Source organism: Homo sapiens, chromosome 4 (genome assembly GCF_000001405.40).
Source record: "Homo sapiens chromosome 4, GRCh38.p14 Primary Assembly".
NCBI classification, from domain to species: Eukaryota; Metazoa; Chordata; class Mammalia; order Primates; family Hominidae; genus Homo; species Homo sapiens.
In genome coordinates this window covers 34,680,733-34,694,107 of record NC_000004.12, presented here as the reverse complement: position 1 = coordinate 34,694,107, position 13,375 = coordinate 34,680,733, and positions in this window count along the sequence as shown.

The window sequence follows — 13,375 nt, the reverse complement described above, 5'->3', positions numbered from 1 at the left end:
TTCTTCCAACCTTCCCCAAAAGGAATTATGGCCTTTTACCAGAGGAGCTGTGCATTAGGAAATAAAATATTCAGACCTTTGGACACTACTGGACACTGACTCTGAACTGACATTGATCGCAGGAGACCCAAAACATCACTGTGGCTTCCAGTCAGAGGAGGGGCTTATGGAGGTCAAGTGATCCATGGAGTTTTAGCTCTGGTGCATTTCAGAATGGGTCTTGTGAATCTGTTAACCCATCTTGTGATTACTTCCCCAGTTCCAGAATGAAAAATTGGAATAGACATACTTTGCAGCTGTAAGAATTCCCACATAGGTTCCCTGACCTGTGGAGGGAGGGCTATTAAGGTGAGACAGACCAAATGGAAGCCATTAAAACTGCCTCTACCTAGCAAAATCATAAATCAAATGCAATATATCATTACTGAAGGGATTGCAGAGGTTAGTGCCACCATCAAGGACTTGAAAGATGCAAGAGTGGTGATTCCCACCACATCCTTATTCAAATCTCCTATTTGGCCTCTGTGGAAGAAATAGACCTTGGAGAATAACAGTGGATTACCATTAGTTTATCTAAGTGATGATTTCCATTGTAGCTGCTATACCACATGTGATTTCATTGCTTGAACAAATTAACACAGTCCTTGGGATCTGAGATGCAGCTATTGATCTGGAAAATGTTTTTCTCCATCTCTGTCCTTAAGACCAACCAGAGTTTGCTTTCAGCTGACAAGGCCAGCAACATACTTTCACTGTCCTACCTCAGGGGCATATGAACTCTCCAGCCCTGTGTCATAATTTAGTTCACAGGGATCTTCGCTGCTTTTTCCTTCTGCAAGATATTACACTGGTCAGTTACATTGATGAGATTATCCTGATTAGGTCTAGTGACTGAGAAGTAGCAACTATTCCAGACATATTGTGAGGGCATTTGCTTGTCAGAGGGTAGGAAATTAACCCAACTTAAAATTAAGAGCCTTCTACCTCAGTGAAATGTCTAGGGGTTCAGAGGTATGGAGCATATTGTGATAGTTTTTCTGAAGTGAAGGATAAGTTGTGGAATCTGTTCCTCTTACAACCAAGAAAGAATCACAAAGCCTAATAGGTCTATGTGGATTTTGAATGCAATATATTCCTAACTTGAGTTATTACGACTCATTGACTAAATGACCTGAAAAGCTACTGTCTTTGAGTGAAGCCCCAAAAAAAAGTCAGCTCTCCAACCAGTCCAGGTTGCTATCAAGCCTCTCTGCCACTTGTGCCATTTGAACCAGCCATTCCAATAGTGCTTAAGGTGGCAGTGGCAGATAGGGATTTGAAGCCTGTGACAGGCTCTCATAGGTGAATGGTAGTACAGGTCTTCAGCATTTGGAGCGAGGTCCTGGTATCACCTGCAGATAACTACTGTTCTTTTGAGAGACAGCTTTTGTTAGGTAAAAATATCACCTTGTTATTGTCTTTTATTTAGAAATTAAGTATAATTTAAAAAGATGTGTATGGGTGCCGAACTGACAAGGTGTATACCAGTGAGGGTTAATGTGTCAACTTAAGTGGGATAAGCAATGCCCAGGTAGCTGATAAAACATTATTTCTAGATGTGTCTGTGAGGATGTTTTAGAAAGAGGTTAGCTTTTGACTTGGTAGGCGGAGTAAAGAAGATTGCCCTTACCAATGTAGGTGAGCATCATACAATCTATTAAGGGCCCAAATAGAACAGAAAGGCAGAGGAGGGAAAATGTGCTCTTTGTGTTTGAGCTGGGACAAGCATCCTCTCCTGCCTTTGGAATTCAGTTCTCCTGGTTCATGGGCCTTCAAACTCACACTAAGACTTGCACTATTGGCCATCTAGTTCTCAGGTCATCAGACTGGACTGAATTAAACCACGATAACTCCCGATTCCTGGTTCTGCAGCTTGCAGATTACAGATTGTGAGACTTCTCAACCTCTATAATCATGTAAGCTAATTCCTACAGTAAATTTCTGTGTGTGTGTGTGTGTGTGTGTGTGTGTGCATGAACATATGTTTTTAGTTATGTAAAAGTGGTATTGCATCATTAATAGAAACTTTTTTAAAATAAAAAGAACAAGAAACATAAGTTATAAGTTTATTTTACTTTAATGGATATTTTTATCTGATCACACATACATTTTATTCATTCTGACAAAGACACTATTTAGCCAAACTTTAGTGAGGCTCCTGAACTTCTTCCTAAGCCCAACTGTGTTCTTCCTTGTAAGATATAGTTTTAGCAAACAATCCTACTATGTTAATTTAGCAAGAACCCCCAACCTTTAATACTTGATCATCTTTTACATCTAATCAGTTTTTTCATCCTCTACTATCCCCCACATTATGTCTGATTATTCTGAACTATCTTCAGCAAAAATCTGGTTAGGTTGGCTTAGCCAGAATTCCCATTACCCCCGATGTCTCATTTTAGTAATTTCCCATTCACTAACCATACACTACTTTTTGGTTATAAATTCCGGCATATCCATGCTGTATTTAAAGCTGAGCTCAATCTCTCTTCCTGAGTGCAAAATCATATTGCAGTGGTCTGTACACCTATTGCAATGATCTTGAATAGAGTCTTCCTGACGATGCTTTACCAAGTATCAATGAATAATGCTTTTGTTAACAGTTCTCTTTCTCTAGAGAATTGTAACTAATACATTCACATTTTTTTGTTCTCTTTTGGCTTTAGATAATGCTCATTTGCACTAGTAAGTGTGATCTTTTTGATGTACAGTCTACCAATTCAAGTACTAATCCATCTTGAAACACCTCACAGACACACCTAGAAATAAGGTTTTACCAGCTATCTGGGCATCACTTAGCCCAGTCAAATTGACACAAAATTAACCATCACACTATGAAATTTACTTTGTACCCCCCATTATTTGTTTAATCCTTAGTACACAGAAGGCATTCAAAATATGACGGTAAATGAAGAGTACTATCATTTTGACCCTCACATTTTCTATCTAATAAGTGTTTTCACTACATGCCTATAAAACCAAATATTTTAATGCAAATAATATTAACATTGATGAGTTTTCTTTCAGAAATATTTTTGCAGTAAACTCTATTGAACATTTTTAAACTCTTAATTTATTTTCCTTGAAATATAGATCATTTTACTTTGCTTTTTTAGTTTTTCTGAGAACAATGGTTTTATTTTCAGATTTTAAAAAATTTTGAGCACTAATATTTCTATTTAGTTATTTATCAATTATGCTCTCAGCCATTTTTAAGTTTCCTTTTAGGACCATTATTTTGTGCCATTTTTCCAAGCCCAACAATGTCAAAAATGTTTTATTACTTTTTCAATAATATCAGTTTTTATAATTGACAAATACCAATGCCTATTGATGTTTTATAAAGGTTCATTTTATTTGGGATCAGGTAAAAATTATCCACTAAAGTAAAGCAAAGTTATGTTTCTGGTACTTCTTCTTTAAAGTTTGTATTAATAATGTGATATCACTTTTATTTAACTAAAAACATTCTTCATCTCTTTTTCAATGAATGGTACTGCCCATGCATCCAGTTATATAGACAATAAGCAGCAGGCATCATCCTTCCTACTTTCTTCCAGTTAAAATCCCCATATCTTGTCCATCACTAAATCTTTTAGAAATTACCTCCAAAATACATTTGAGTTAAGCCCACCCATTAAAGCTCTACTTCGACACTTAATTACCCAACCTGTTTTGCAAAATTATCCTAATAGGCCACTTTCAGTCTCCTCCTCTAATCTATTCACTTTATGCTGAACCCCAAATCTTTTTTCTTCTCCCAAATTCAAGTTGATTTTCCCGCAACTTAAAATATTCTGAGATATCATTTGGTATCAATCATATCTGAACTGCTACACGTTGTGGAATATGAAAAGAAAAAGCTAAATAAAATGCATTGTTGAGATTCATGTCACATTGCTGTTAAGAATCATTTTCACTTTTTTTCTGATGACTCAAGAAATAATTTTGTTTCAAACCTCAATATCATTAATAGATGTGTGTATTGTTTGTTTACATATTGGTCTTTCTAACTATGAGTTCAAACATGACAACTATTTTTGTTAACACAAGGATAAAACATAACTGATACTATGTATCTATTGTCAGGCATTTCTTCTGTCAGCTACACCAATATTAAAAAAAAAACAACTTTTTTTAGTGATTTCCTCTTTGACCGCTGACATCTTTCTGTGTGTACTATTATTACCTTAATATTCTTTTGATATTTTCAGAATATGTAGTAAAGTCATTTATCCTTGATATTGGTGATGTACTTCTTACTCTTTTTCAAGATAAATGTGGCTATAGATTTATTAAACTTATAGGTCTTCACAAAAACTGCTTTTGGTTTTATTGATTTTTTTCTATTGGTTTTCTGTTTTCAATATGATTGAGGTTTAATTGACATTTGTATTGTGTAGATGCACATGAAATTTTAATAAATAATACAAAGAGGTCCTGTGTATAATCTGCTCATCTTTCCCCAATGATAAAAGTTTACAAAACTATAGTACAATATCAAATCTGGGATATTGACTTTCATATCATCCATTTATCTTATCCAGGTTTCCTTTTTTTTACTTTTACACGTGTGTGTGTGAGAGAGAGAGAGAGAGTTGTGGTGTGCGTGTGTATGTGTGTGTGTGTGTGTAGATATTCAAATCTATACAACCTTATTATATGTGTAGGTTCATGCATGCGGCACCACAATCATGATACTGAAGAGTTCCAGCACCATAAGGATTAAGGATTCCTCCTGTTGTCCTTTTATAATACTCTCTCTCTCTCTTTCCAAACTTACCCCCTTCCTAACTCCTTAGCACCACTAATCAGTTCCCTTCTAAAACTATCATTTTCAAAATGTTATATGACTGGAATCATTGAAATTGGCTCTTTTTACTCAGTATAATTTTTTTATTCATGAAAGTTGCTGTATTTCAATATTTCATTGCTGAATACTATTCTATGGTATATACAGTATTTACCAAATTTTGTTTAGCCATTCACCATTGAAGAATAGCTGAACTGTTCTGAGTTTGGAGCTAGTATGAGGAAAGCTGCTCTGAATAGATTTTTAATGTGAAAATAAGGGTTAATTTATCTGAGATGAATGTCCAAGTGCATTTTATTCCTGGTACTGGTGATTGTATCTTCTCTCTCTTTTTTCCTTAAATTTTTGGTCAGTCTTGCTAGAATGTCATTGATTTAAAAAAAAAAATAACTTTTTGTTTCATTGAATTTCTCTACTATTTTTCTATTTTCAATTTCATTGATTTCTGCTTGTATCTTATTATCTACTTCCTTATGGTTGCTTTGAGTTTATTTTACTGTTCTTTTACTAATTTCCTGATGTAGGAACTTAGATTTTTAGAGTCTAAGACTTTATGTGTTTATAATGTAAACACTTAATGCTATAAATTTCTCTCTTGGCACTGCTTTAGCTGTATCCCATATATTTTAATTTGCTATATGTTCATTTTTATTAAGTTCTATGTGCATTTTTAATATATTTTAAGAATTACTCTTAGACACATCTGTTTTTAGAAATCGCTTTTTTAATTTACACATTTAAATAAATTTTTCTGTTATTTTTCTGTTACTGATGTTTAGTTGCATTCCATATGGTCAGAGAATAGATTCTGTATAACATTAGTAATTTTACTTTTGCTGACACTTGTATGACTCAGGATATACCCTATTTTGGTGAATATTCCATAGGCACCTAAAAATGTGTATTTTTCTTTTGTTGTGTGAAGTGTTTTATTCATATCAGTTAGATCCTGGTGATTGATTATGTTCTTCGGAACATCTATGCAGTGAATGATTTTCTGTCTAGTAGTTCTGTCAGTTGCTTAGGGTGACTAATGTAGTCTCCAACTCTAATTATGGATTCGTCTATTTCCTTTTTAGCTCTATCAGTTTTGCTTCAAATATTGAACACTTGTCTTTGCCTGAAAATGTCTTTCTTTCCTGTTCTTTCGAAAATGATAGTTTAGCCAGATATAGGATTTATAGTTGACAGGATCTTTGTTTGAGCTCCTAAAAGACATTTTGCCACTTTCTTCTGGCTTTCATGGTTTAAAATGAGAAATGTGCTATCACCAGGATTGGTTTTCCCCCACAGATGAAGTATTATTTCTCTCTGGCTGTCTACAAAATTTTTTTCTTTGTTTTTAAATTTTTTAAGATTAATTTGTTTGTTGGGATGAATCTTTATCGGGTTTGAATTTTGCTCAGACTCTTGGTTCTGTAGGTTTGTTTTTGTTAAAAATTTGAGAAATTTTCAGTGATTCTTTGAATATTTTTTCAAATCAATTCTCTTTCTTATTATGAAACCTATGTAATATAAATGTTGGAATTTTGTTATTATCCCACAGGCCACTGAGGCTATATTCTTTTTTTTCTTTATCTTTTTTAGTTACTGTTTTCTCTATAATTCAGATTGGGTGAATTCTATTGATTTGTTCTCAAGTTCACTGATTCTATCCTATTCAATCTCCATTTTATTGTTACTATCCAGAGAGTTGTTTCTTATTAAACTTATTTCTTTTATTGCATTTTTCAGTCCTACTATTTCCATCACATTGCTGACATTTTCAGTTTTTTTCATTTGTTTTAAGTGGGTGTGTGATTAATTGATGCATTTCTGTAATGGTTAGTTTAAAATACCTGTCACGTAATTTCAATATCTGTTTCTTCTTTGTCCTCTTGTCTACTGTTTTTTCTTATTCAAGTTGTGATTTTCATGGTTCTTGGTATGATGGATGATTTTCAATTACATTACAGACAATTTGCATATTATGTTAAAAGACTCTGGGTCCTAATTAAATCTCTTATTTTAACAGACATCCATCCTGTTTGTTTAGAATTAAAGTCCTAGCCTACTTGGTGGGATGTGGTTCTAAATAGTTTAATTTTTAGATATTTTTATGGTATTCTTTTTGTCTCTTTGACTTACCTCTTGACACTAATATTGCCACTGGTCTCTACCAGTGCTGCCTGAAGAAGCAGAAGTGTTTTTCTAGGCCAGGTTACTGAGTGTCTTTCAGTAGGAGAGGGGAGTTGCAGGCCTATGGGGATAAAGAGGATTCTCTAGCTTAGTGTTTGTTGTGGTAGAATCACCTTTGCCTATAGAGAACCAAGAACATTTCCTCATGGGTGCTTATTGTTGCAGAATCACCTACTACTGGTACTTCTACATTCTAGTCTTTGCTGTAGGAGGGGTTTATTTGGCTTGTAGAGGCAAAGAGATTTCCAGAACCAGGCTGTTTGTTGTAGGATCCTTTCCCTGCCTTTGGGTGATGAAGAACACTTCCTGGGTCAGGCACTTACTATGTGGAAGAACTCTCTCAGGCACTCCTTGCTACAGCACTGTTTATGGGTAGGAGAGAAATAAGCTTACTTGAACTGCTTTCTGTTGATAGGTTGGTGGTTGGGAAAGATCCGGTCAAGATCCCCTACTTCTACTTAGTGGGAAGATATAAGATTGTGTGGTGCTACATTCTTCTTCCGTTCATGGAGTGTCAACCCAGTTTACTTTATTCCTAGTACTTTTCGGATTCAACTTTGTTTGCCTCTTTCTTTATTTGCAGTATTTATAATGTTACTTAGTGGAGAGGAGAATTGAGCATTATATCTATGCTATCATGTCTGATCTGTAAGTTTATTGATTTTTACTCTGAAATTTATTATTTCTTTCCTTTGACTTATTTTCAGAATAATCTGATTGTCTGCTTTCTTAAGATGGAAGCTGAGATTATTAATATGATACCTTTCTCATCTTCTAATATAGATATTCAATGCTGCTATGGTTTCAATTGTTGTGTCCCCTTCAAAATTTATGTTGAAATTTAATCCCTAGTGCAACAGTAGTAAGTAATGGGAACTTTAAGACGTAATTAGGCCATGAGAGTTCTGGTCTCATATGTGGAATCAGTGCATTATTAAAAAAATGCCTGGGAGAGCTATCCAGACCTCCTTTGTTGCCCTTCCATACTGTCTACCACATGAGGACACAGTATTCACCTCCTTTCAAAGACATAACAACAAGGAGCTATCTTGGAAACAGAAAGCGGTCCTCTCCAGATATTAGATCAACTGGCTCTTTGAGATTTTTCATAGTTCTGGAATTCTCAGCTTCCAGAACTGTGAAAAAATTCTGTTGTTTATAAATAACACATTTTATGATATTTTGTTATTGCAGCACAAATGGATAAAGACAAGTCTTAAAAAGTCTCTCTTATTTGCAGCTTTAGTGTTATCCCACAAATATTGATAGGTGTTTTTGTTTTCTTTTATCTCATATTTACCTTGTAAATTCCTTTTTGGTATACCCTTTGGTAAGGATTATTTAGAATTGTGTTAGTTTCCAAAGATCTGTGTATTTTATAAATATTGTTGAGTTATTCATTTCTAGTTTAATTACATGGGTGTCAGATAACATGCTTTGTATGACTTGAATACTTTTCAATTTATTGAGACTTGTTTTACTACTCAAAGTGTTGTCTATCTTGATAAATGCTTTTTGTGCACTTGAAAATATGAATTCTGCTGTTACTGAGTAAAGTGTTACATAAATGTCAATGGGTCTAGTTGATTGATGATGTTAAAATCCTGATTCTTGTTGATTTTGTTTACTTGTTCTACAAATAAATGAAAGAAGGATATTAAAAATTTTAACAATACTTGGGGATTTGTCAGTTTTCCTTGCAATTCTATTGTTGCTTCATCTATTTTGCATCTCTGATATTAGATACACTAAATTTCAGAATTACATGTCCTTTTGATAAACTAACTCCTTTGTCATCGTAAAATAAGATTCTTATTTTCTGGTAATACACTTTGCTAGAAATCTACTGTCATCACCTGACATGTGAGTCAGCAAAAAAAAGAAAGAAAAAAAGCTACTTTGTCAGATAGACAAGTGTTAGTATCATGTTTCCTTTTAGCTAATTTATGTCTTTATATTTAAATTATGTTCCTTGTAAGAAACATAGGGCTCCATCAAATATGGCAATCTATGTCTTTCAATTGATTCCTTTAGACCATTTGTATTTAATGTGATTACTGATAAAAGTAGCTTTAGGTATGTCATCTTGCTATTTATTTTCTTTTGAAATATCTATATTTTGCCTCCATTTTAAAGGATTACACCATTACATATATATAATTCAAAATTGATATTTCTTATTTTTTAATAGTCAAAAAATCATCTTAATGTCATTCATCATTAATTTTTCTGGTGAGGTCAACTGTGCCTCAGTATTTTCATTTACCATATGTAAGATATCTTTTCCTTATGAATAATGTTATGAATTTATCTTTAGTTTTCACAGTTTGAAATGATGTAACTCTATATGTTGTTTTACATACCTATCCTTTTTGAGGGCTCCTGAGCTTCTTGGATTCAGATTGATGTATTTTTTTAATTTTTAGAAAAATTTCAGTGATTTAGTTAATTTTTTCTATAGCTCTTTCTTTTTTTATCTCTGGTCACAGGCATTTTATACTGCTTAACATTTTCTCATTAATATTGGATTCTCTGTGTATTCTTTTATTTCACTCATCTTTTTTTCTATTTGTTTTATATTTTAGTTTGATTACTTCTATTGATTTTTCTAAGTCTATTGATTTTTTCTACTGCAAAATTTATTCTACTGTTAAGACTATCTACATAAATCTTAATTTTTGATACATTTTGTTTTTACCAATTTTATTTTTAGCATACTCTTTTTATATTAAAATATGGAACTGTAAAATAATAGCATTTTTACATCTCTGCTGCAAATTCCCATAACTTGATAAATACTGATCACCATTTCCACTAGATGTTTCTATATTTATATAATTGTTATTTTAAAGCTCCTCCCTTATAATGCCACAAGTTTAACCATTTCTGGATCTGCTTTTGTTGTCTCTCTCTCACTCTTTTTTTTTCTCTTTAGCATGAGTTACATTTTTTTGCTCCTTTACATGTCTTATTGATTCAAATTGCATGCTGGGTGTTTTGCATCAAATAACAATAGAGACTGAGGTAAGCAATATTTACTTTCAGAAAAAGGTATGCTCCTTCATGTGTCTTGATTTTTATTGTAATATTGGTGGTGATGGACAAGAATATGTTAGTCTAAAGAGGGCTGGGTTCAATCATTGTTGCATCTTTGTGTGACTCATTTCACCACTGGCTCCACAAAGTTTAAGAACAAGATCAAAATTTTTTCTTCTTGGACTATGTGCTATGATCACTAGTATAATTCCAGTGCTATTTTGTGATTTACAGCTAAGCCACCAGTGTTATGAACTATAGTATATCTGTGTATGCTCTACACTATATCTGCTAACCTTCTGGACCACTGGAAGTTCTCGTTGCTCTCAGTCATGTCCCAGGAATTCTTTACAGGTTGAGAGCTTTCTTGTCTCTGGAAAAGCCTTAGAGGTATGTCTCAGATTTATTGTTCACATACAGCACTTGGGAACATGTTGATTTCTCTCAGCTTTCTTGTTTTTTCACCTCATTTTCAGTACCAGGTAAGCCAGTAAATTGAGACCTCTTATGTCCCAGACATCACTTTTCCTACCTCAATCTCTGGAATGCCGGACTAAAGGAATGTCAATAGAAGACGGTGGATGGGTAAAAGTGAACTACTTGATCAGGGCTCTTCTAACATCTAGTATGTCACAATCACAAACACACTTAAAAATTTTTGAAATGGTAATCCCAGCACTTTGGGCAGCTGAGGCGGGAGGATCACTTGAGACCACGAGTTGGAAACCAGCCTCGGCAACATAGTGGGACCCTATCTCTCTTTAAAAAAAAAAAAAAAAAAATTAGTTAACCAGGCCTGATGGCACATGCCTGTAGTACCAGCTACTGGAGAGGCCGGGAGGTGGAGGGGGCTGAGGTGGAAGGATGGCTTGAGCCTGGAAGGTTGAGGCTACAGTGAGTCATGAGTGCACACCACTACACTCCAGCCTGGGCAACAGAGTGAGATACTGTGTAAAAAGAAAAAAGAAAAGGAGGGGAAAGGAAAGAAAATGAAGGAAAAGAAGAAAAGAAAAAAGAAAGAGAAGAAGAAAGGAAGAAAGAAAGAAATTGTTGAAATATTGGTTGTTTAGTTATTTAACTCCACTTTTGGGTCTACGTTAGATTATTTCTTCTCTTGCTGTCCTGCTGGGCATGAAAACAGCCATGAATCTCTTATTTTTTATGGAGAGTCCATTCTATTCTAGAATTTAGTGAGGAAACTGTAAACTCAGTTTGCACATGGGTTCAGGAAAACTATGACTCATTAGCTTACTTGTCTTGCTTTGGTTGTAAGGATGAATGTTATTATCTCTTTTGACTTTCTTCGTCCTGTGTGAAACAGCAACCCCAAATTCCAAGATACATTTAAATTCATTTAGGGTTCTGAAATCTAAGATTCAAAATCTACTTTTCAGAAGTGAATTTTGACCATATACTTGATATTCAGGAAGATATAGACAACTATAACTTTGAATTCATAGTTGTATCTTTAAAAAATAACCCAGAACATTCTATGCTTACTATATGAGTCAAAATGATACTTTTAAAACATGAGTTAGATCATATTACACCTCTGTACAAAATATTCCAGTAGTATCTTGTTTCACTCGGAGGAAAATTTAAAGGCCTTACAATGGCTTAAAACTTTTTAAAATGTGAACTCTATTTCTTGCCCATTTCTTTAAATTCATTTAAAATCACTCTTCTATAGGTTTGCACTGATAAAACCAATATTCTTGATATTCCTCAAATACACCCAAAACACGCCCTCCCCAACCTCCCCGCCCAACACACACACTGCCACTGCAAATGGCACTTGCGTTTCAGTTTTCTCTACCTGGAATGTTCTTCCCTCAGATAACTGCATGTCTCTCACTTTTGCCTCCTTCACGTTTCCGTTCAAAAAATTTTTTTTTCAACAAGGTATCTTGCTTTGTCCATTCTACTTAAAATAGTAATGACCCAACCTTGTAATTTTATCCCTTTTATTTGCTTTATTTTTTCCCCAGAGAACTTATCAGAATTTAAAAGATTACCTACGTTACTTGTTTGTGTGGTTATTATCTGTTTCTCCATAATAGAATGTAAGTTCATTTAAGGTAGGATTCTTTTAAAAAATATAATTAATTTATTTATTTATTTTGAGATGGAGTCTCGCTCTGTCACCCAGGCTGGAGTGCAGTGGAGCGATCTCGGCTCACTGCAACCTCTGGCCCCTGGTTTCAAGCTATTATCCTAAAGTAAGGTTCTTTTTTCTTTTGATAAGTGTTCTTTCTACTTTCCAAATCAATAACTTAACAAAAGGAAGGAAGAAAACAATGCAGTAAAGAACTGAAGAAAAGAAAAACAGAACAAGGGTGGAAAGAGGCAATAAAAGAAGAAAGGAATAAGGAAGGAAGGAAAAAACGGAAAAACACTGGGATCACAATTACAGAGAGAGAAAAAATAAATAAGCTATAAAGCTTAATATCCTTGGACCTAAATTTTTCAACATATGGGATGCTACTTGTAAATATATTTAAAACTTTCTCAGGTTCATATTTTATCTTTTTATCATTTTATATAGAAGAGAGTATGGAGTTAAGTGAGTACTGTTGTTGATGTTGTATTTATTTGATTGATCAATTTTCTGGAAACAGAATCTGAAATGAAGACTTTCACAAAGTACAGAAGAGGAATGTAGGAGACATAGCTGTAAGAAATTAGGGAAGAGGCGCAGCGCAGTGGTTCACGCCTGTAATCCCAGCACTTTAGGAGGCCACGGTGGGCAGATCATGAGTTCTGGAGTTCGAGACCATCATGGCCAACATAGTGAAACTCCGTCTCTACCACAAATACAAAATTAGCCGGGCATGGTGGTGCACGCCTGTAGTCCCAGCTGCTCGAGAGGCTGAGGCAGGAGAATCGCTTGAACCTGGGAGGCAGAGGTTGTGGTGAGCTGAGATCAAGCCACTGCACTCCAGCCTGGGCAACAGGGTGAGACTCCCTCTAAAAAAAAAAAAAAGGAAGAAGAAGAAGAAAAAAAGAAAGCACTTAGGGAAGAAAACATTGGCCAGAAGCTACTTAACAATGCAGTTGCAATGGAGGCGCACTGGGGGATGATTCTTTGCATTCCCCATCTAGACATTAATCATTAATGAAGGCCGACCCTGGGAGGAGTAATAACATTGTTTTAAGCAGATCCTCATCCTGAGGATGAGGGCAATTCTAAATGGATGAAGTTATAATTGAACAGCAGTTGATATCTACTTTGACTAGGAGGTACATGTGTCTACCTTCCAGAGGATATGTGAGCAGAGCAACACAGTATCTGCCACACTGTGTTTTATT